Source organism: Homo sapiens, chromosome 3, assembly GCF_000001405.40.
Source record: "Homo sapiens chromosome 3, GRCh38.p14 Primary Assembly".
NCBI lineage: Eukaryota > Metazoa > Chordata > Mammalia > Primates > Hominidae > Homo > Homo sapiens.
The window spans coordinates 128,918,754-128,942,918 of NC_000003.12; the positions used below are offsets into that span (position 1 = coordinate 128,918,754).

General features: G+C 44.9%; 1 protein-coding gene across 9 annotated transcripts in view, besides 3 other annotated features; it reads right to left on the bottom strand.

Annotated features, from left to right (window-relative positions):
• The window catches only part of CFAP92 (cilia and flagella associated protein 92 (putative)), a 116,876-nt gene that overhangs the window by 8,881 nt on the left and 83,830 nt on the right, over positions 1-24,165 (bottom strand). For all 9 annotated transcript variants that reach the window (XM_017006945.2, XM_011513050.3, XM_047448638.1 and 6 more), the window contains 2 exons: positions 16,372-16,566; positions 13,947-14,244 (listed from right to left, as the gene is read on the bottom strand). In XM_017006945.2, coding sequence (XP_016862434.1) covers positions 13,947-14,244; positions 16,372-16,566 — 493 coding nt within the window. The remainder of the gene's footprint in view (positions 1-13,946; positions 14,245-16,371; positions 16,567-24,165) is intronic.
• Positions 13,461-13,962: an enhancer, noted in NCBI's record as "H3K27ac hESC enhancer chr3:128651057-128651558 (GRCh37/hg19 assembly coordinates)". NCBI's record gives its function as "activates a minimal SCP1, AML or CMV promoter by ChIP-STARR-seq in primed H9 embryonic stem cells {active_cell/tissue: H9 hESC(primed)}" and the evidence as "EXISTENCE:reporter gene assay evidence [ECO:0000049][PMID:30033119]".
• Positions 15,963-16,464: an enhancer, noted in NCBI's record as "H3K4me1 hESC enhancer chr3:128653559-128654060 (GRCh37/hg19 assembly coordinates)". NCBI's record gives its function as "activates a minimal SCP1, AML or CMV promoter by ChIP-STARR-seq in naive H9 embryonic stem cells {active_cell/tissue: H9 hESC(naive)}" and the evidence as "EXISTENCE:reporter gene assay evidence [ECO:0000049][PMID:30033119]".
• Positions 16,465-16,964: an enhancer, noted in NCBI's record as "H3K4me1 hESC enhancer chr3:128654061-128654560 (GRCh37/hg19 assembly coordinates)". NCBI's record gives its function as "activates a minimal SCP1, AML or CMV promoter by ChIP-STARR-seq in naive H9 embryonic stem cells {active_cell/tissue: H9 hESC(naive)}" and the evidence as "EXISTENCE:reporter gene assay evidence [ECO:0000049][PMID:30033119]".

Here is a 24,165-nt window from a genome sequence, read left to right on the forward strand (position 1 = left end):
ACCATATGGTCTTCAGGATAACCACCTTAAAAAGAAAGATAGAATGTATAACTTAAGTCCACAGAAGAAAACTTGATCTATCCAAGGAACACAGGAACGGAGGGTTTAAAAGTAGATTAGGTGGCAAAAATGCCTAACCTAACAGTAATTAATGTTAAGCTTGCCAATTAAAGAATCTCAGATTGGATTTTTTTTTTTTTTTTTTTTTTTTGAGACAGAGTTTTGCTCTTGTTGCCCAGGTTGGAGTGGAATGGCGCGATCTTGGCTTACTACAACCTCCGCCTCCCGAGATGAAGTGATTCTCCTGCCTCAGCCTCCCAAGTAGCTGGGATTACAGGCGTGTGCCACCACGCCTGGCTAATTTTGTATTTTTAGTAGAGACAGGGTTTCACCATGTTCAGGCTGGTCTCGAACGCCAGACTTCAAGCGATCCACCCACTTCAGCTTCCCAAAGTGTTGGGATTACAGGCGTGAGCCACTGCACCCAGCCTGGATTTTTTTTTCAAGCTAACAATATGCTATCTACAAAACTTTCAACACAAAGATACAGGTTTGACAACTAAAGGGAGACAGCATATACACTAGGCAAAAAGGCATGAGAAAACAAAGACAAAAAAGCTGTGTGGCATTCTTAATATCTGCTGAAACAATTCAAGTTAAAAATCTATCAAAAGGGGCAAAAGGATATTGTATATTGAGGACAACAAAAAGGGATAACTTGTAAATATATATGCACCTAGCAATATAGTCTCAAAATATATTAAGAAACAACTGACAGGATTACAAGAAGAAATAGACATCTATCTAACATCACTGGAGAACAACCAAGGCAACCAGGATTTGAGAGTCCAAGAATCTGGAGAAAAGGGAAATAATGGTGGTTCCATTTTCTTTTTGCAGTTTTCTCTCAAGGGATTTACTGACTCCTAATTTGCACATGGATAAGGCAGAAATAAGAACATAAGCAGAAAAAGAAGCTTAAGAAGTTTAGAAGCTAAGGAGGTATTTTGGAAAATGCTGCATTGCTAGAGAAACAAAATTGGATTTCAAAATTGGAAATTGTGCCAAGGAGGAAGGGCCCTGGTACCTCTAGGCCTCCAGTTTAGAATTCAGAAAATCTGCTTTAGGAGTAAGGGCAAGCCTGACTCTGATTAAGGAGATTTATCTGTCCTCTGTCTCCTGCTTTATCATCTCTGGAATAAGACATCAAGAGTCTCTATAGTTTTCAATACCCTCTTTACCATTTAACAAAAAATAACAGACATGCCAGGTAACAGGATGAAAAGATGGAAACCAAGAAAAAAGACAATAGAAACAGACCCCAGGTAATCCAGATATTGGAAGTATCAGACAAGAACATTAAAACTAGTCTGGACATGGTGGCTCATGCCTGTAATCACAGCACTTTGGGAGGCTGAGGTGGGTGAATCACCTGAGGTGAGGAGTTAGAGACCAGCCTAACCAACATGGTGAAACCCTGTTTCTACTAATATACAAAAATTAGCTGGGTGTGGCAGTAGGTGCCTGTAATCTCAGCTATTCAGAAGGCTGAGGCAGGGAGAATTGCTTGAACCCAGGAGGCGGAGTTTGCAGTGAGCCAAGATAGTGCTACTGCACTCTAGCCTGGGCCACAGAGCAAGACTCCATCTCAAGAAAAAAAAATTAAAATAATTATGATTAATCAAAATAAATGAAAATGAGAATTTCACCAGACACCTGGAACCTATAGAAAAAATAAATGGAAATCATAGAATTGAAGAAATCATCATTAAAGTTACAATCCAGTGGATGGGTTTAATTGCAGCTTGGACACAGTGTTGGGGAAAAGCTGAGTGTTGGGAAAAAGGCTGAGGCAGGGCTTGCATGTCTGACGTAACGTAAAAGAGTCTTGGAACATGTCCGGCGTCCAGGGTCTAAAACCCCTTGTGGCCTTTGGAACACCAAGCTCTGTTCCAAAGGGTGGAAGGCTGCCCTGCCGCACTACAATCTAAGCCCAGGGCACAAGCCACAAGGGCGTGGCTTGGACGGAATCCAGGGAACAGCGCATAAAACCCCTCGTGGCCTCTGGAATGTGTCTCGACTTGTTGGCTCCTTGCTTCTAGCACTCCAAGGCTCATAGATCGATTGTGTCTTAAACTAGAAGAATACGTTTCCCATTATCTCAAGTAGCAGAACATGTTCCATATGCTTCAAAGAAAATTCTAAACCATCACAGCTGTAGATCATGCACTTGATACACTGCTTTCTTTCAACCCCCACATCCTCACCACCTGCTTCTTTGATCACCAATAAATAGTGTGGGCTTCCAGAGCTCGGGGCCTTCACAGCCTCCATACTAGTGTTGGCCCCCTGGTCCCACTTTATGCACTCTTGTCTCATCTGTTTGACTCTGCCGGACTTCATAGTCCCCACAGCCTGGAGTTGGGTCTGATCACCCCAACATTCCTGGCGCCCAATATGAGGCAACGAACACCCCAGTGAAGGAACACTAGAGTGTGTGAAAGAGGATGCATCATCAGAGGACACCCGAGGACGACTGAAAGAAGCTCAGCAGGAAAGCTGAGCACTCGGAAGGACCAGGGTAACAATGGCACAAAGTGAAAGCAAACATTCTGCTCAGGATGTTTTAATACAGCTTCTTACATACAATAATGCTAATGCAGTGTCAAACTGCTATTAGACCCCTGACAGGGAAGGTTCAGTTAGCTGAATGTATTAAGGCTTGCGATGGCATTGGAGGTAACTTACATAAGGCTAATCTTTTAGCTCAGGCTATGGCTGGATTGAAAGTAGGAAAGAATATGCCCCATTTCTTGGGCCATTGTTTCAATTGTGGGCAATTTGGACACAGAAAAAAGGAATGTAGAAAAGGAAATCAAAAGGCAAAAACTACCATCAATCAACAGAAAAGTCCCAGTGTATGCCCCCAGTGTAAGAAAGGCAATCACTGGGCAAATCAGTGTCATTCTAAATTTAGCAAAGATGGACAACCTCTTTCGGGAAATGGGAAGAGGGGCCTGCCTCAGGCCCCTCAACAAACCAAGGCATATCCGGCACAGCCAGTGCCCTTACAAACATACAACAATTGTCTCCCACCATAGTAGGCAGTGCTGCTATAGACCTTTGCAGCACAATTCCCATCTCCTTCCTGGGGAGCCACCAAAGAAGGTCCCCACGGGTGTTAGGGAACCCTTACCCTCAGGAACAGTTGGTCTGTTACTTGGAAGGTCTAGTTTAAATTTAAGAGGTGTCAGTGCATACGGGAATAATTGACTCTGATTATACCGGAGAAATTCAATTAGTTTGCTGGGCGCGGTGGCTCATGCCTGTAATCCTAGCACTTTGGGAGGCTGAGGTGGGCAGATCACGAGGTCAGGAGATCGAGACCATTCTGGCTAACACGGTGAAACCCCGTCTCTACTAAAAATACAAAAAAAAAATTAGCTGGGCATGGTGGCGGGCACCTGTAGTCCCAGCTCTCAGGGAGGCTGAGGCAGGAGAATGGAGTGAACCCAGGAGGTGGAGCTTGCAGTGAGTCAAGATCGTGCCACTGCACTCCAGCCTGGGCAATAGAGCAAGGCTCCATCTCAAAAAAAAAAAAAATTCAATTAGTTATTAGTTCCTCGACTCAGTGGTCTTCTTCCCCAGGAGAAAGAATTGCTTAGTTATTGCTGTTACCTTACACAAAACTAGGAAGCAGCACAGTGAAAAGAACAGGAGGCTTTGGTAGTAATCCAGCAGGAAAGGCTGTATATTGGGTTAATCTAGTGTCTGACAGAAGACCTATTTGTACAGTAACTATTCAGGGAAAGGATTTTGAAGGACTAGTAAATACTGAAGCTGATGTCTCTATTATTGCTTTAAATCAATGGCCCCAACACTGGCCCAAACAAAAGACTTCCATGGGTATCACTGGCATAGGGCCTGCTTCAGAAGTTTTTCAAAGTTCCTTGATTTTACCATGTCACGGGCCAGATGGCCAGGAAGGAACAATTCAACCTATTATTACACCTATTCCTATCAATTTATGAGGTAGAGACTTATTGCAACAATGGAGTGCCCACCAAACATCTGAAGATCTATCATGAGCCACAGCATCTAGTGGACCCACCTGTATGGTGCAAATTTAAGGTTTAAGGATTGCTTTTTTGCTATACTGTTGCACAAGAAGGATAAGCTTCGATTTGCTCTCTGTGCCTTCTGTTAGAAGGGGCCTGCTTCTCATTATCAGTGGAAAGTTTTACCCCATGGTAATTAACCAAAGAGGCAGAAGCTGAGTTACAGCTTGTAGAACAAATGCTTCACCAATGGTATGCCTCCCAGCTACAGCCACAAAAGTTTTTGCTTCTGTTTCGCTAGATTTACTAACGTGGGGTTGAGGGTATGCTTGTGTTTTTGCAGGAGATGAACAAGCCGTGTGGGTGCCCTCAAGATGTGTACGACCATGGAACAGGAGACTGGAGGGACCCAACCATGGAGGGGGTTCCCCCAGTACGAGCCATGGGCCAGTTGAATCTGAATGCGAAGATGGAATGAGGACCGACTGGAGTCACGCTGACATCAACCCCCATAACATGGGGGCAGATCAAGAAAACCACACAGGAAGCTGAGAAACTGCTGCAGCGCCAGGGTTTTACCTTTTGCAGGAACTCAGGGGCACAACAGATGCTTAATGGACCAATGCTTTCTGACTGAGCTCCTCTCTACCCTGAATACAAGAGACCCTAATAGGCAGGAATATCATCGCCCCTGTTCAGCATGAAGAAGTTGCAGAAGATGGACCTTCATCCTTCTGCAGCCCTTAGGATTAAAGGTCCTTTTGTAAAAGGGAAGGGGGAAATATGTAAGAAGCATTCAAACCAGAGCGACTACATTTTGAATAAGGGCTAAGACAAATGAAGCTGGATCACCAACTGGCAATTAAGGGCTGAACAGCCTGCAATTGCCTTGCTCAATTAATTTAAAAACAGAAAGACCTTTTGGATTCAAAGTTGTGTTCGGCCACCTTTTATGCTAGCAATAGGAAATGTTACTCTTAAATGCCATCTGGAGGGCAAAGATGAAAATCTCACCCTTGATATTGTAAAACTAAAAGAGAAGGTTTTTGAAGCCTCTCAGGCTCACTTAGCCCTGCTCCCTGGAACTGATATTTTGAACAAGACAGCCAATGGGTTGTCCACAATCAATCCTCTTAAATGGATTAAGGCCATTGGAAGCTCTATACTTGGCAGATTTTGTTCTAATAATTATGTGTTTGTGCTGTCTCCTTTTAGTCTGCAGATGCGGAAGCCACCTCGGGAGAGACAGCTGCCGTCGAGAACAAGCTATGATAGCTGTGGCGGTTTTACAAAAAAGAAAAGGGGGCATGTTGGGGAAAAGCTGAGTGTTGGGAAAAAAGCTGAGGCAGGACTTGCATGTCTGATATAATGTAAAAGAGTCTTGGAACATGTCTGGGGTCCAGGGTCCAAAACCCCTCATGGCCTTTGGAACACCAAGCTCTGTGCCAAAGGGTGGAAGGCTGCCCTGCTGCACCACAATCTAAGCCCAGGGCACAAAACCCCTCATGGCTTGGATGGAATCCAGGGCTCAGGGCATAAAACCCCTTGCGGCCTCTGGAATGTGTCTAGACTTGCTGGCTCCTTCCTTCTAGCACTCCCAGGCTCATAGAACGATTGTATCTTTTTTTTTTTTTTTTTTTTTTTTTTTTTGAGACAGAGTTTCGCTCTTGTTGCCCAGGCTGGAGTGCAATGGCGCGATCTTGGCTCACTGCAACCTCCATCCCCTGGGTTCATGTGATTCTCCTGCCTCAGCCTCCCAAGTAGCTGGGATTACAGTCATGTACCACCACGTCCGGCTCATTTTGTATTTTTTTTAGCACAGATGGGGTTTCTCCATGTTGGTCAGGCTAGTCCCGAACTCCCAACCTCAGGTGATCTGCCTGCCTCAGCCTCCCAAAGTGCTGGGATTATAGGCGTGAGCCACCACGCCCGACCGATTGTATCTTAAACTAGAAGAACATGTTTCCCATTATCTCAAGTAGCAGAACATGTTCCACATGCTTCAAAGAAAATGCTAAACTGTCACAGCTATAGATCATGTGCTGATACACTGCTTTCTTTCAACCCCCACATCCTCACCACCTGCTTCTTTGTTTGATCACCAATAAATAGTGCAGGCTTCCAGAACTTGGGACCTTCACAGCCTCCATACTAGCACTGGCCCCCTAGTCCCACTTTATGCACTCTTAACTTGTTTTGTCTCATTCCTTTGACTCCGCTGGACTTTGTGGCCCCCACAGCCTGGTGTTGGGTCTGATCACCCCAACATACAGCAGGGGATAAGATTAGTGATTTAGCAAAATAGCAGTTTCCAACCTTTTTGGCACCAGGGACTGGTTTCGTGGAAGACAGTTTTTCCATGGCCAGTGGGAGAGGGTTGTATGGGCATGGTTTGGGGATGAAACTGTTCCACCTCAGCTCATCAGGCATTGGTTAGAGTCTCATAAGGAACATGCAACCTAGAACCCTTGCATGTTCAGTTCACAATAGTATTCATGCTCTTATGAGAATCTAATGCCACCACTGATCTGACAGGAGGTGGAGCTCAGGTGGTAATGCTCACTTGCCCACTCTCACCTCCTGTTGTGCCACCCAGTTTCTAACAGGCCTCGAACTGCTACTGTTCCATAGCCTGGGGGTTGGGGACCCCTGCATCAGAAGATATATTGGTTGAAAATAATCAGGTTGAAGGATGAAAAGGAGAAAAAAAGACTGTAAAATAAAAAGTATGAGATGTATAAGTAATATCAGATGCAGATCATGGTGAAAATATCTAACATTGGAGTCCCAGGAGGAGAGGAAGAGAAGATGAATATAAGTAATATCTGAAGAGAAATACTGTCCTAGAACTTTTAAAACTTAAAAAAAATCAAGCTACAGATTTAACAAGTTCTAGAAACCCATGGCAAGTTAAATACAAAGAAAAACACACCTACAAACATCATCATAAAACTGCCGAAAACCAAAGAAAATAAAAACAAAAAATTTAAGCAGCCAGAGACAACCAAATTATCTTCAAAAGAACAAGACTGGCAGCTGACCAACAGAAACAATGGAAGTCAGAGGACAACGGAATGATGTCTTTAAAGTGTTAATAACTGCCAAGCTAGAATTCTAAACCCAGGAAAAATACCCAAAAAATCTAATCACAGAAAAATTAACTGATACTCACAAACACTTCTCAATACTGAAACAATGAAAAGACGAGTCACAGACTGGGAAAAGATACACATCTAACAACTCATTTGAATAAAAGTAAAACACTGTCAATTAGAAAAATACAACTAGATTTATTTTAAATGGAGAAAATAAATAAATTTGAACAAGCACTTTATAAAAGGAGATATCCAAATAGCCAATCGTGAAAAGGTGCTCAACATTATTGAGAGAGAGACAGACATTAAAGCCTGAATGTGGCTGGGCATGGTGGCTCACGCCTGTAGCCTGTAATCCCAGCACTTTTGGAAGGCTGAGACAGGTGAATCACCTGAGGTTAGGAGTTCAAGACCAGCCTGGCCAATATGGTGAAACCCTGTCTCTAAAAATACAAAAATTAGCCAGGCATGGTGGCACACACCTGTAGTTCCAGCCACTCAGGAGGCTGAAGCAGGGAGAACTGCTTGAACCCAGGAGGCAGAAGTTGCAGTGAGCTGAGATCACACCACTGCATTCAGGCTTGGGGAGAAAGCCTGAATACTTTCTCCCCAAGATCACAAGCAAGGCAAGCATGTCTGCTCTCACCACTCCTCTTCAACACTGCACTTCTTTATACCAGACATTCTAGACAATGCAAAGGGAGAAAGGGAAGGACAGAGAAGGAAGAAAAGAGCAAGGAAAGGAAGTGTTATGGACTGAATGTCTTCACCCTCAAATTCCTCTACTGAAGCTCTAAACCCCAGCCTGGCTCTATTTGGAGTAGGGAAGTAATTAAGGTTAAATGAGGTCATAAGGTTGGGGCCCAGATCTGATAGGATTAGTGTCTTTGCAAGAAGAGACATCAGAGGCTGGGCGAGGTTGCTCACACCTGTAATCCCAGCACTTTGGTAGGCTGAGGCGGGCAGATCACAAGGTCAGGAGATTGAGACCAGTGTGGCCAACATGGTGAAACCCTGTCTCTACTAAAAATACAAAAATTAGCTGGGTGTGGTGGCGCATGCTTGTAGTCCCAGCTACTTGAGAGGCTGAGGCAGGAGAATGGTTTGAACCCGGGAGGTGGAGGTTGCAGTGAGCCGAGATTGCACCACTGCACTCCAGCTTGGTGACAAAGCAAGACTCTGTCTCAAAAGAAAAAAAAGAGAGAGATATTAGAGACTCTCTCCATTCACACACAACAAAGAGATCATATGAGTACGCAGCAAGATGGTGGCCACCTACAAGCCAAGAGAAAAGGCCTCAGAATTAAACCGAACTTGTCAGACTCTTAATTTTGGACGTTCCAGCCTCCAGAATAGTGAGGAAATAATTTTCTGTTGTTTGAGCCTCTGAGCTTGTGGCACCCCAGGCAGAAGGAAAGGAAGGAAGGAAGAGTATCCAGATTGGAAAAGAAAATGACCTTTCTTCACAGATGACGTGATCCAGTTCAAAAGGTTGTAAGATACAAGATCAATGGACAAAAAATTAATTCTAGGGCCGGGCGCGGTGGCTCACACCTGTAATCCCAGCACTTTGGGAGGCCGAGGCGGGTGGATCAACGAGGTCAGGAGATCGAGACCATCCTGGCTAACATGGTGAAACCCTGTCTCTAGTAAAAATACAAAACAAAATTAGCTGGGCGTGGTGGCGGGCGCCTGTAGTCCCAGCTACTCAGGAAGCTGAGGCAGGAGAATGGCGTGAACCCAGGAGGCGGAGCTTGCAGTGAGCGGAGATTGTGCCACTGCACTCCAGCCTGGGCGACTGAGCAAGACTCTGTCTCAAAAAAAAAAAAAAAAATTAATTCTATTTCTATATTATGGAAACAATACAAAAAGTAATTCAATTCATAACACCATTAATTTCACAAAAGAAGTGCAAGACTTGCACACTAAGAACTACAGAAATCTCTGAGGAAAACTGAAGACCTAAATAACAGCAGAGACATTCCATGTTCATAAATTGGCAACCCCAAAATTGTTAAGTTTGGCAGTTTTTCCCAAATCAATCTATAGATTCAATAAAATCCCCGCCAGGTGCGGTGGCTCAAGCCTGTAATCCCAGCACTTTGGGAGGCCAAGGCAGGCGGATCACAAGGTCAAGAGATTGACCCCATCCTGGCTAACATGGTGAAACCCCGTCTCTACTAAAAAATACAAAAAATTAGCCGGGAGTGGTGGCGGGTATGTGTAGTCCCAGCTACTTGGGAGGCTGAGGCAGGAGAATGGCGTGAACCTGGGAGGCCAAGCTTGCAGTGAGCCGAGATCGTGCCACTGCACTCCAGCCTGGGTGACAGAGCAAGACTCCGTCCCAAAAAAAATAAATAAACAAAATCCCCATGAAATTCCTATAGAATTTGTTGCAGAAATTGGCAAGCTGATCTTAAAATATATGTGGAAATGCAAAGGACCCAAAGTAGTCAAAGCAATTTTGAAAAAGAACAAAGTTAAAGGACTTACACAATCCAACTAACTAACTATAATTAAAGTCATCAAGACAATGTGTTGCTGGTATATGGAGAGGCATATAAGTTAATGGAACATAGTTTAGAACTCAGATATACACCCTTACATTTATGGTCAATTCTTGACAAAAAGATGCTAAGTCAATTTAATGGGGGAATAGCTAGTCTTTGCAAGAAATGATGTGAGGACAACTGGATATCCATATGCAAAAAGATTAATTTAGACCCTTACATTGGACCTCAAAAAAAATGGTTCACAGATCTAAATGTGAGAGCTAAGAGTAAGTGTAAGAGAAAGGATATGAAATGATCTTCGTAACTTTAAGCAGAGTCCTTAACTATAACACCAAAAGCATGATTGCTAACAGAAAAAACATAAATTGGAATTTATTAAAATTAAGAACTTTTATACTTCAAAATTTTCTTATACCATTAAGAAAAAAAAGAAAAGCCACAAATATGGAGAAAATATTTGCAAATCATATTTCTCATTAAGTACTTGTATCCAGAATATATAACAACTCAACAATAAAAAGACAACTTGATTTTAAAATGGATAAATGATACAGATGGCCAGGCACAGTGACTCATAACTGTAATCCCAGCACTTCGGGAAGCCAACGTGGGAGGACTGCCTGAGCCCAAGGGGTTCAAGACCAGCCTGGGTAACACAGTGAGACCCTGTCTCAATTTGAAAAAAGAGATTAATTCAAAAAGATACAAATATATATTACATCAAAGAAGCGTTATAAATTCCTAATAAGCACATTAAAAGATATCTAGCATCGTCAGTCATTATAAAATGCAAATTAAAATCATGAGATACACACTAGAATGGCTATAATCAAAAGGACGGATAAGTGTTTGTATGAATGCAGAGAAACTAGAACCCTCATGCATTGCTGGTAGGGATGTTAAGATTGTGCAACTACACTGTAAAAACCGCTTTTCTTACAATGTAATTTCTTAAAATCATAAATATAAACCTACCTATATGACCCAGCAATTCCACTCCTAGGTTCTACCCAAGAGAAATGAAAACATATTTTCACGTAATGATTTGTATGCAAATGTTTATAGGAGCAATATTTATAATAGCCCCAAGCAAGAAATAATAGTAATTCCAAAAAGTGGTGAATGGATAAATGTGGTACATCAATTCAATGGAATAATATTTAGCAATAAAAAAAGAACACACCGCTGATATATTCAGGTACGTGGATGAACCACAGGAACTTTATGCTCAGTGAAAGAAGCCAGACACAAAAGTTTACATAATTATATGGTTCCAATTACCTGAAATATTCAGACAAGTCAAATCTATCAAGACAGAAAGTAGATCAGTGGTTATGTGGGACTAAGAATGGAGCAGAGATTGACTGTAAACTAGCATGAGAATACTTTTTGTGGTGATGGAAATGTTCTAAAACTGGATTGTGATGATGGTGTTATAACTATAAATTTACTAAAAACTACTGATTTATATATACTTACAATAGGTGAATTTTATGGTATGTAAATTATATCTCAAGGTGTAAAAATGTGAAAAAATTAAATTATGGTTGGGTTTCAATTATTATAGTATGAATAGGAAATTTAAAGCCATTTTAGAGTAGCCATATCTAAGATAATAGGAACATGATTTTTTAAAAAGCTGGAACAATATTTACAAGAGATTTTAGCAAATTTGTAAGAGATAGGGGGCTAGTAAATAAATTGTATACTACTATATTATAAAATTCTCCATATTATTGCATTTTTTTTGAGATGGAGTCTCGCTCTGTCGCCCAGGCTGGAGTGCAGTGGCGTGAATTTGGCTCACTGCAACCTCTGCCTCCTGGGTTCACGCCATTCTCCTGTCTCAGCCTCCCAAGTAGCTGGGACTACAGGTGCCCGCCACCACGCCCAGCTAATTTTTTTGTATTTTTAGTAGAGATGGGGTTTCATTGTGTTAGCCAGGATGGTCTCGATCTCCTGATTTCATGATCCGCCTGCCTCAGCCTCCCAAAGTGCTGGGATTACAGGTGTGAGTACTGTGCCTGGCCCTGCAAAATCTTTAAAAACCCTTCCTCATGGCCAGGCGTGGTCACCTGTAATCCTAGCTCTTTGGGAGGCTGAGGTGGATCACTTGAGGCCAGGAGTTCGAGACCAGCCTGGGCAACATGGCGAAACCCCATCTCTACTAAAAATACAAAAATTAGGCAGGCATGGTGGTGTGTGCCTGTAATCCCAGCTACTCAGGAGGCTGAGGCAGGAGAATCACTTGAGCCTGGGAGGCAGATACCGCAGTGAGCCGAGATCACGCCACTACACTCGAGCCTGGGCATCAGAGCAAGACTGTCTCAAAAATAAAAATAAATTTAAAACACTTCCTTGTTATGTGGCATTAACAAAATTATATTAACCCATGAAATGAATATATATTCTTGTACATATCTAAGTGCATTAAGAGGTAGGATAAGGAAGACTGCAAATACTCTCAACATTGTTTGACTTTTTTTGTTTGTTTGTTTTTTTGAGACAGGGTCTCATTCTGTTGCTCTGAGTGCTGGAATGCAGTGGCGCGATCTTGGCTCACTGCAACCTTACCTCCCAGATTCAAGTGATTCTCCTGCTTCAGCCTCCCAAGTAGATGAGATTACAAGTGTGCACCACGACACCCAGCTAATTTTAGTATTTTTAGTAGAGACGGGTTTTGCCATGTTGGCCAGGCTGGTTTCGAACTCCTGGCCTCAAGGGATCTGACCGCCTCAACCTCCCAAAATGCTGGGATTACAGGCATTAGGCACTGTGCCGCATTGAGACAGGGTCTCACTCTGCCATCCAGGCTGGAATGTAATGGCGTGATCTCAGCTCACTGCAACCTGTGCTTCCCAGGCTCAAGCTTCAGTCTCCTGAGTAGCTGGGACTACAAGTACATGCCAGCATGCCCAGCTAATTTTCTGTAGAGACGGTTTCGCCATGTTGCCCAGGCTGGTCTCGAACTCCTGAGCTTAAGCAACCTGCCCACCTCGGCCTCCCAAAGTGGTATGAGATATATATATGTGTGTATATATATATACACATACATGTATATATATGTATGTATGTATATGTATATATGTATATATATGTATGTATGTGTATATATATATATATATTACACAAGAGAAATAAAAATGAATGAAATAGCCAACTAGAGAAGATAGAAAAAAGGAGAAAGGTGTAAGTTTTAAAGTATCATAAAAATAAAAGCTGAAGTTAATGAATTAGAAAAACAGAAAAAGCAGAATTGATAAATCCAAGAACTGATTCTTTTGAAAAAGCTAAAAAGTTTTTTCCACTAATGGAAAAAACAGCCAGGCACAGTGACTCACACCTGTAATCCCAACACTTTGGGAGGCCGAGGCAGGAGAATCCCTTGAGCCTAGGAGCTGGAGACCAGCCTAGGCAACACAGCAAGACCCAATCTCTAAAAAAAAAGTAAAAAAAATTAACCAGGTGTGGTGGCGCATGCCTGCCTACTCAGGAGGCCGAGGTGGGAGGACTGCTTGAGCCCAGGAGTTGGAGGCTGCAGTGACCCATGATCAAGTCATAGTACTCTAGCCTGGGCAACAGAGTGAGACCCCGATTCAAAAAACATAAAAGAAGTCTGTTCTTTGGTTTTCATAAAGACTGCACACATACAAAGCTTACAAGCTTCTAGGAGTCTTTGTTTTAAACTGGAGAATTGCAGGGATGGTAGGGCCTTCACACAGACCACAGGCACACAACTCCAAGTCATACCACAGATGTCTGTGTTTTCATGTCTTTTTGGTTGGCATGGGGTGAGCGAGGTTCTCCTTGCCCATTCAGGCCACACAGCACCAGCCTTCTACCCCCTCACCAGCTTCTCAGTCTCCCATTCTCTCCCTCTGTCATGCAGATTAGTTTATGTCCCATGTTGCTTGGACATCTTATGACACTTATGCCCTGAGCAGCGTAAGCAACATGTTACACACACACACACACACATGCCACAGTTCTTTCTCTACAATGAACTCTGGGAGCCATGGTAAAGGTAATATAGCTAATAGCATTCCTTCTCACCTTTCAGGAAGGACAAGGTTATCTAGGACTGGGAGTGAAGGTTTCTGACATGGCTCAGCCCCACATCCTGCACTTCTTGCCCATCCAGCAGGGTAGCCCAGGCCAGGAGCGCAGGCACGACCAGAGGCAAATGTCCCACTCAGGAATATGCCCTATGCCTCTCAGCAGGCGCCTGGACCGCCCAGGTGAGGCCTGGGAACCCCAAGTTGGGGAGGAAGGCGGCCCACCTGGATGAAACTGTGCTTTTTGTCTTTGTTCTTCATAAGCATGGCACTCCGCCACTGCAGGTACTTCTCCTGGTGGGCGTGGATCTCTAAGGTGAGGGTGGAGTTCCGACTGTGGTAGTCCTCAAGATTGGGGGCAGGCTGAGGTGGTAGGGCAAACAGTTTCTCATCTGTGAGTTCTTCTTGCGAAAGGGGCATCCCAAACTCTTGGCTCAAGTCTTTTATCATAGCAGAGGAGGGCAGCAGGTCCCTCACCGTCACGTCCCAGAGGGTGGTGCTGTTATAGCAGATGTCGTGGATCCTGGAACAAAGAACCACTGCCCCACTGAACCTCTCCTACCTTGCAAGACAGGTGTAATCACTCCCATCCTACAGCAGGAAATGAACACTCAGAGGCTGCTTAGCTGGTCCCAAGTCCTGGAGCTTGTGACTAAAGAGCTCCAATTCCAGTCTGCTGAGCCTGGGCTCCTGGCAAAAGCCTCCTTCTCCATCTTCTCCCCAGCCCCCAGAAGCCAAAGGCTGCCCACGGTTTGCTCTGAGTGCTGCTCTGTTCCTGTGTCCTTAGCCATGCTTCCCCTCCTCCCATACCCCATCGGGACACAGCCCCACCAGCTGCCCATCAGGGATGTAGAGCACAGAGCCTTCCGCACCAGGAGGACATCATACACCGAGCCTCAGGGGGCTGGCTGTTAATAGAGGAGAAGGAGGAGGCTGGAGAGAGAGTCCTCAGCAAAGCTCAAGGACCTCCCCAGCCCCAAAGCCTCCTCCTGGGTGCCCTCTGCCATGGCCTGGTGTGCAGTGGGCATTGGGTCCAGAAACCATGCTCAGTCATGGCTGTTGGCGGCTCACTGTCTCAGCTGCCTCCGAAGTCCACTGTGCGGTAGGTGCCTGCCTTTGCACTCACTGTCCCAGTGACCCTGGCCCAGCCTTAGCCTTTCTGAATCTGGTTTCCTCACCCTCAGACAGAAATAAAGCCATATGGATGCAGCTACCTTGGATGCAGTAAGCACTTCCTAAAAAGTGTTCTTCTGTTTCCTTCATAGAACCCTCAGCTACCTCCTGTCACCTACCAGGCAGGACCGGGTCTGGCCTCCTTCCAAATGCTGTGGCACCACCCCACATGCCAAAGGTGAGGGCCACAGAATCAAAGAAAAGCCTCTTAGCCCCGACCAAGTTCTTTCTCCTTCCTATCTCTCCAGCCTCCTCCTCCTCCTTCATTAATACATCCAGCAAGCACTAGCTAGGGCCAGACCTGTTGCTGGCTCTAAAAATATAAAGACAGGGTTTGTACCTCCTGCCCCACACCCAGCAGCAAGTGAACTGTCTGCCTGCTGAACATCTCTGGCCCTTCCTCAACAGCAGCCTCTCCTGCCCTGGGGAAAGAAGCAGCCCCCTCCTCCGTGCCCCCGCTGGGTCCCAGGGTATCCCACTGCCTGTGTTCTTTATGTCATCTCTGCTTCTGAACTGTAGCCTCCTGAGAGTGGGGACTGGTGTGCCCACAGGCCCCCTAGAGCCAGTGTGAGCCAGCAGCTGCTCAATGAGGGAATGGTGAGACCCTGGTTGCCCAGGCTGGAGTGCAATGACGCAATCTCGGCTCACTGCAACCTCCACCTCCCAGGTTCAAGTGATTCTCCTGCCTCAGCCTCCCGAGTAGCTGGGATTACAGGCATGCGCCACCATGCCTGGCTAATTTTGTATTTTTAGTAGAGATGGGGTTTCTCCATGTTGGTCAGGCTGGTCTCGAACTGCCGACCTCAGGTGATCCACCCGCCTTGGCCTCTCAAAGTGTTGGGATTACAGGCATGAGCCACCGCATCCGGCCTGTTTTTGCTTTTGTTTGTTTGTTTGTTTCTGAGATGGAAGTCTCACTGTCGCCCAGGCTGGAGTACAGTGGCTCGGTCTCAGCTCACTGCAATCTCTGCCTTCCAGGTTCAAGAGATTCTCCTGCCTCAGTCTCCCAAGTAGATGGGATTACAGGCGTGCACCACTACACCTGGCTAATTTTTGTATTTTTAGTAGAGATGGGGTCTCACTATGTTGCCTAGGCTGGTCTCAAACTCCGGGGCTCAAGCCATCCTCCCACCTCAGCCTCCCAAAGTGCTGGGATTACAGGTGTGAGCCACTGTGCCCAGCCCACACCTGGCTAATTTTTAACAAATTTTTGTGGAGATGAGGTCTCGCTCTGTTGCCCAGGTTAGAAAATGGGTTTTAACCAGCCACTCCCTCCTCAGGCAATTCTAGGACATGCCCCAAGAACAGTAGACGCCACAGAGTCACAGCATCTGGGCGGATGGTCCTCCTCCCCCCACCATCTGTTGGGGCCACTATCTAGTTGTTGGATGCCCCAGCTTGCCTGTTTGGGTGCAGAGTGTTAAGAAGTGCCCCTCCCGCCGGGGCGCAGGACCACATGCGAGCTGCCACTGCCCACCTGGCTAGAGCCTGGAAGACCCGCCTCCGCTCAGTGTCTCGCAGGAAGAACACCGCCTGCTGCAGCAGCAGCTCCGTGGGCTGGAAGAGGTGCACGTGGTACAGGATGGCCTCCAGGTCCCCATAGAGCCGGCTGCGGAACAGCAGCTGTGAGTTGTACAGCACCTTGTATTTCCTGTGTTCTGACCTGGGAATCCTGCAAGAGACAGAAGGCCAAGAGCTAACTTGCATGGCAGCTTCCTGGGACACCGTGGTGAGGGTGCGCTGTCAGGTACAGCTTTTATGTTATTTAAAAACAAACCCAGGGGCCGGGTATGGTGACTCACGCCTATAATCCCAGCACTTTGGGAGGCTGAGGTGGGCAGATCACATGAGGTCGGGAGTTCGAGACCAGCCTGACGAACATGGAGAAACCCCATCTCTAGTAAAAAATACAAAATTAGCCGGGCGTGGTGGCACATGTCTGTAATCCCAGCTACTGGGGAGGCTGAGGCAGTAGAATCACTTGAACCTAGGAGGCGGAGGTTGTGGTGAGCCAAGATCGCGACATTGCACTCCAGCCTGGGTAACAAGAGCGAAACTCCGTCTCAAAACAAAAACAAAACAAAAAAACAAGCCCAGGCAGGTGGAGGCTGCAGCGAGCCCTGATGGCACCACTGTACTCTAGCCCGGACAACAGAGTGAGACCCTGTCTCAAAACAACAAAAGACAAGGTTGGTAATGAAGACTATACTAAGATAAAAATAATAGCAATTTAGAAGTATAAAAAATTAACTAAAAGGATAGAAAAAAAACAAAAGGAATATGATGATGATGAATGCCTCCTGGTAGACACAACATCTTTCAACACCTGGGACCTTGACAGAGAGCTGGCAGTGAAAGGCTGAAACTGACCTGATCTGGCTCATGGCCTGTGCCTGTCTCACCCCCCTTCCTGCCCCCACTCAGCCCCTCACCACCCCTCCAAGCCCTGCCCTGGCACTCGCGGTCTGCACTGTGGCAATACCAGCCTGGCAGGGTTTCTATGCACAGCCTGCTGTCATTGCCCTGCACTGGCCTATGCCATTCCTCTGCCTTTTTGAACCTGGTGAAGTCTACAATGCCTTCATCTCCCCTTCAGGAATCTGTGTGCTTGGTCAGGGGTAGGTCCTCTTTTGTGAAGTATTGGTTTGGGTATTTTGCCCATACTTTCTTTCCACTGGGAGTTTTTCTTATTGATTCACAGGACTTTAAAAAATATATTTAGGATACTAATTATTGGTCAGTTCCAGACACTGCAAATAATTTTGTTTGTAGCTTGTCTTTTCATGACTTTTATGGTGTTGTGAAAGTTGAGCACATGCATTGGGTCATTCTCATCACACCCAACTAAAACAGAGTCGACAGGCGGGGAGAAAGCACCCAGGGCACGTAGCACTGCTCCAGGAATGTCATTCTCTGCAGCCTGGCTGCTGAGGCTGCCTGCTCCAACCTGAAGCCAGTCTTATCTTATAGCTACTGACACCACCTGCTGCGACTCCAAGACTACTTTTACTCACTGGCACTCACCAGTCAGAGGTTGCCAGTGCCCCAAATTCTCAAAACAATACCTAACATTTTTATAATGCCCCTCCTTGTTATAAAACCTCCAACCTTCTGTTTTTCAGACATACTGAAGACTGCCCAGTCTGTGTGTGTACCTCAAATTGTAATTCTTGCTTCCCAAATAAAATTTTTAAATTTAGAGATTCATCTCTGTATTTTGACTTTGACAGTGTCTTTTGATGAGCAGAAGTTACTTTTAACGTTGCCAAATGTACGATTCTTTTCTTCTTTGTCCTTGTCTGGTTCAAGGTTCAAGAACTCTTTCTCCATTCTGGGGTCATGAATATGTTCTTCTATATTTTCATCTATAAGCTTTTTAATTTTGCTTTCCAAAAACAGATTTTTCACTTTGGGAGGTCGAGGTGGGCAGGTTGCTTGAGTCCAGGAGTAGGAGACCAGCCTTGGCAACCTGGTGAAACCCCATCTCTACAAAAAATACAAAAATAATCTGGGCATGGTGGTGCACACCTGTAGTCCTAGCTGCCTGGGAGGCTGAGATGGGAGGATGGCTTGACCCCTGGAGGTAGAGGTTGCAGTGAGCCCTTGTACCGCTGCAGTGAGCCTTTGTACCACTCAGCCTGGGTGACAGAGATAGACCCTGTCTCAAAAAAAAAAAAAAAAAAAACCACGCGTAGTGGTTTACGCCTGTAATCCCAGTACTATGGGAGGCCGAGGTGGGCAGATCACGAGGTCAGGAGATCGAGACCAAGGTGAAACCCCGTCTCTACTAAAAATACAAAAAATTAGCTGGGCGCAGTGGCGGGTGCCTGTAGTTCCAGCTACTTGGGAGGCTGAGGCAGGAGAATGGCGTGAACTCAGGAGGCGGAGCTTGCGGTGGGTGAGCTGAGATCGCACCACAGCACTCCAGCTTGGGCGACAGAGCGAGACTCCATATCCAAAAAAAAAAAAGATTTTTCTGGTGAAATCTGAGTAAGATCAGATCATTGTAGTCTACTTAGTTGTACTGTGTCAATCAACAGTAGTTATATAAGATGTCACCATTGGGGGAGGTTGAGTAATGAGTACATGCAACCTCTCCACTATTTTTGCAATTTCAAAGTTAAAAGTTTAGGCCAGGTGCACTGGCTCACACCTGTAATCCCAGCACTTTGGGAGGCTGAGAGGCAGGTGGATCACCTGAGGTCAGGAGTTCGAGACCAGCCTTCCCAACATGGCAAAACCCTGTCTCTACTACAAATACAAAAAATTAGCTGAGCATGGTGGTAGGTGCCTGTAATCTCAGCTACTATGGAGGTTGAGGCAGGAGAGTTGCTTGAACCCAGGAGGCAGAGGTTGCAGTGAGCCGAGATCGCACCATTGCACTCCAGCCTGGGCAACAGCGTGAGACTCTGTTTCAAACAAAAGAAAAAAAAATTAGCTGGGCATGGTGGCACATGCTTGTCGGTCCCAGCTACTTGAGAGGCTGAGGTGGGAGGATTGCTTGAGGTGGGGGGGTCAAGGCTGCAGTGAATTGTGATCGCACCACTGCACTCCAGCCTGGGTAACAGCAATAAACCCTGTCTCAATAAAAAGAAAGAAAAAGAAAGAAAAAGCTCAAAAAAACGACAAAGTTAAAAGTTTAAAAACGGGCTTGGTCTACCTAGACTAGAGTTGATTTTCATGAATTGTGTGAGCCAGCAAATTAGGAACAGAATGGAACTTCCTCAGACCCATAAAGGACATCTACAAAAACCCTACACCTAACATCATAGATAGTGGGGAAACACTGATGCCTTCTGCCGCAGAGACCAGAAACAAGGCAAGTGTGTGTGCCTTCACCATTCTTTTTTTTTTTTTTTTTTAAGAGATGGAGTCTCGCTCTGTCTCCCAGGCTGGAGTACAGTGGCGCGATCTCGGCTCACTGCAAGCTCCACCTCCCGGGTTCATGCCATTCTCCTGCCTCAGCCTCCTGAGTAGCTGGGACTACAGGCGCCCACCACCACGCCCGGCTAATTTTTGTATTTTTAGTAGAGACAGGGTTTCACTGTGTTAGCCAGGATGGTCTCCATCTCCTGACCTGGTGATCCGCCCGCCTCAGCCTCCCAAAGTGCTGGGATTACAGGAGTGAGCCACCTTCACCATTCTTATATAAAACAGGACTGCACATCCAGGCCAGTACAACAAGGAGATGAAGGTATACAGACTGAAAGAAAGAAATGTAATTATCCCTATTTGCAAATGACATGATGGTCAGTGTAGAAAATCCCAAGCAATCTCCCAAAAAACAAAACAAAAACTCCTAGAACCAGTGAGTTTCAGCAAGGCTTTAGGATATAAGATCAACATTCAAAAATCACGTCTATTTTCAGATATAGCAGTGGTTGCCAGGGGTTAAGGATGTCTGTCCTTCTTTCCTATGAAAACAATTATCCCAACACCATTTATTGAAAAGTTTATCCTTTCCCTACTGAACTTTTTTTGTCTGCTAGAGTTATTTATTTATTTTTCTGAGACAGAGTCTGGCTCTGTCAGCCAGGCTGGAGTGCAGTGGCGCGATCTCGGCTCACTACAACCTCTGTCTCCTGGGCTCAAGCAATTCTCCTGCCTCAGCCTCCCGAGTAGCTGGGATTACAGGTGTGCGCCACCACGCCTGGCTAACTTTTGTATTTTTAGTAGAGACGGGTTTTCACCATGTTGGCCAGGCTGGTCTCAAACTCCTGACCTTGGGTAATTGCCCACCTCAGCCTCCCAAAGTGCTGAGATTACAGGCGTGAGCCACTGTGCCCAGCCTAGAGTTATTTTTTAATTGAGATATAATTTACATGACAGACAACTTACCCATTTGTAAAGTATAATTCAATAGTTTTTCATCTATTTAGTGCAACCACCACCACCATCATCAATTTTAGAACATCTCATCACCTCAAAAAGAAACCCCACACCCCTCAGCTATCGCTCCGTATACTCCCAACCCCCTGAATACCCCCACCCCTGATCCACCGCCCTAAGTATCTACCAATCCAGCGGTCCCCAACCTATTTGGTACCACGGACTGGTTTCGTGGAAGACAATTTTTCCACGGACGGGGTTGGGAGGATGATTTCAGGATGAAACTGTTGCACCTCAGATCACCAGGCATTAGATTCTCATAAGGAATGCGCAACCTAGGTCCCTCGCATGCACAGTTCACAAAAGTGTTCCCGCTCCTATGAGAATCTAATGCCACTGCTGATCTGACAGGTGGCGAAGCTCAGGCAGAGCTTGCTGACCTCCTGCTGTGCAGCCCAGTTCCTAACAGGCCAGAGACCGGTACAGGTCCATGGCCTAGGGGTTGGAGACGCCTGTACTAATCTACTTTCTGATAGATTGGCCTCTTCTGGACATTCCGCATAAATTGAATCACGTCATATGTGACATCTTGTGGCCGGCCGCCTCTCCTCAGCATGTTTTCAAGGTTCATCCATAGTGCAGAATGTCATGGTGTTTCATTCCTTTTTATGTCCAAATAGGATTCCAGTGTATGCATATCCATTATTTGTTTACCCTTTTACTACTTGATGGACATTTGGGCTGTTTCCATCTTTTGGCTATTATGAATAATGCTGTTATAAACATGAGTGTACAAAGTTTAGTACACTAATTGGCGATAATCCACACATTAGTGTGGATACATGTTTTCATTTTCTTGGGCACAGATCTAGGAGTGATATTCCTGGGTCATATGGGAACTCTGTGTTTAATCACTTGAGGAACTGCCAGAATGTTTTCCAAAGTGGCTGCACCTACATTCCTCCCAGCAGAGGACACTTCTGATTTCTCCACATCCTTGCCAACACTTGTCATTATTGGACTTTTGGTTTCTACCCATCCTAATGAGTATGAAATAGCATCCCATTGTGTAAGATTCATTCTTTTGAAGTAGAAAATTCAGTGTTTTTTAGTGTATTTATTCCCCACCAATTTTGCAATATCACATATGTCATATGTCAAATGAACACTTATGTGTAGGTCTGTTTCTGGATTCTCTATTATATTCCATAGGTCTGCTTGTCTATCTCTGAACCAATACCACACTATCTTAATGACTATAGTTTTATCATGAGTCTTGATATCTAGTACAGCAAGTTCTTCTATCTTGTTCTTATTCAAGGGTATCTTCTTTAAAAAAGACCTTTACATGTTGCTGTAAAGGGTTTAAAATTCCAACAGCTTTTAAAGTATGGACTTTGATGAAAAAAAAAAGTATGAACCTTTATTAACATGCGGAAGTTTAAAATTTTAAAATCAATGTCCATACTTTAAAAGCTGTTGGGATTTTTAAAACTGGAAGTGCACTGAATCTATAGTTCAAATTTGAAGATAACTGAGCCTTTAGAATATTGAGTCTTCAAATTCATGAACATGGTATCTCTCTCCACTTATTTATGTCTTCCTTAATGTTTCCTGAAGTTCTATAATATTCATGATGGATGTCTTTCACATCTTTTTGTCAAATTTAGTCCTATGAATTTCATACATTTTACTTTAAATGTGTTCCAATTTTTAAAAATTAGTTTTTGTAGGTAGATGGTATTCAAAATTTGATAGATTTTTATACTAATTTTTATATTCGATACCACATTAAATAATCTTATCTGAACATACTTTTGGTATTTTTTAAATTTCTTATAATTTTTTAAATATATTGGCATAATTTGAAACACATATCAATGTCTGCAACAACTATAGTTATGTCTCAATAATTTTCAGGCATTTTTCATTTCCAAATAAGCATTTTAAGGTTATACATTTTCTTCTGACTAATGCTTCAATATCACTCTGCAAATTTTTATTTATTTATTTATTTTGAGACAGAGTCTCACTCTGTTGTCCAGATTGGAGTGCAGTGGCATGATCTTGGCTCACTGCAATCTCTGCCTCCTGGGTTCAGGCGATTCTCCTGCCTCAGCCTCCCAAGTAGCTGGGAATACAAGCATGTGCCACCACGCCCAGCTAATTTTTGTATTTTTAGTAGAGATGGGGTTTCACCATGTTGGCCAGGCTGGTCTCAAACTCCTGACCTCAGGCGATCCGCCCACCTTGGCCTCCCAAAGTGTTGGGATTACAGACATGAGCCACTGTGCCCGGCCCACCCTGCAAATTTAGATAATATATTATTTTCATTATTGTTCAGTTCAAAAATGTCTAATTTCCATTATGATTTCTTTTTGACCCACAAGTTATTTGGAAGTATGGTTATTAATTTCCCTGCATATGAACTTTTTTCTGGTTAATGATTTGTGTTTTATTTCTAGCCTAATTCAACTGGGTTCAATGAGCATGCTTCATGATATTTCTGCCACTGGAAAAAGCTTTTGAGATATAATTCATATACTATCTGCCCAGCATTAGCCAAACCACAAAGTTTGAGGGCACAGTCCCCAAGACCGCCCTTACTTCTGACGCCAACTGCAAGTTCAGAAGGTTTCTGAGACCGCCCTCTGGTTTGATAATGCACTAGAAGGGCTCACAGAACTTACTGAAAATGAGTTCTACACTCACAGTTACAGTTGTATTACAGGGAAAGAATACAGACTAAAATCCGCCAAGGGAACAAACACATGGAGCAGAGTCCACGATGGCTCCAGACACAAAGCTTCTACTGTCTTCTCGTGGAGCCAGATGTGCTACCCTCCTAGCACTGGTGAGTGGCGGCATGCAAGCACACTGCAGCCAGGCAGCTCGCCCCAGCCCTGGCGGCCACAGTTTCCAGGGGGCTCCACTGCACAGGTATGGCAGGCTGGCTGACCGCCTACATGGCTGAACTCAGTCTCCTGATTCTGCATGACCCAAAGCCCCCATCCCGAAGCACCTGGTTGGTCTTTCTGGAAGGTCAGCCTCCATCCTGTGACTGTCAGGTGTGACCAGTCCCCTCCCTGAACAAAGACACTCCTATTAGGTGTGACTCAGATCGCCTCCCAGGAGCCAAGGGCAGAGCCCAGACTGCTCCTGGGCCAGGCCACATTCTTTGCTACACACCACAAAACTCAATCTTTTTTTTTTTTTGAGATGGAATCTTGCTCTGCCACCCAGGCTGGAGTGCAGTGGCATGATCTCGGCTCACTGCAACCTCCGCCCACGGGTTCAAGCAATTCTCCTGCCTCAGCCTCCCAAGTTCCCAAGTAGCTGGGATTACAGGTGCCTGCCACCACGCCTGGCTAATTTTTGTGTATTTAGTAGAGATGGGGTTTCACCGTGTTGGCAAAGCTGGTCTTGAACAAAACTCAACCTT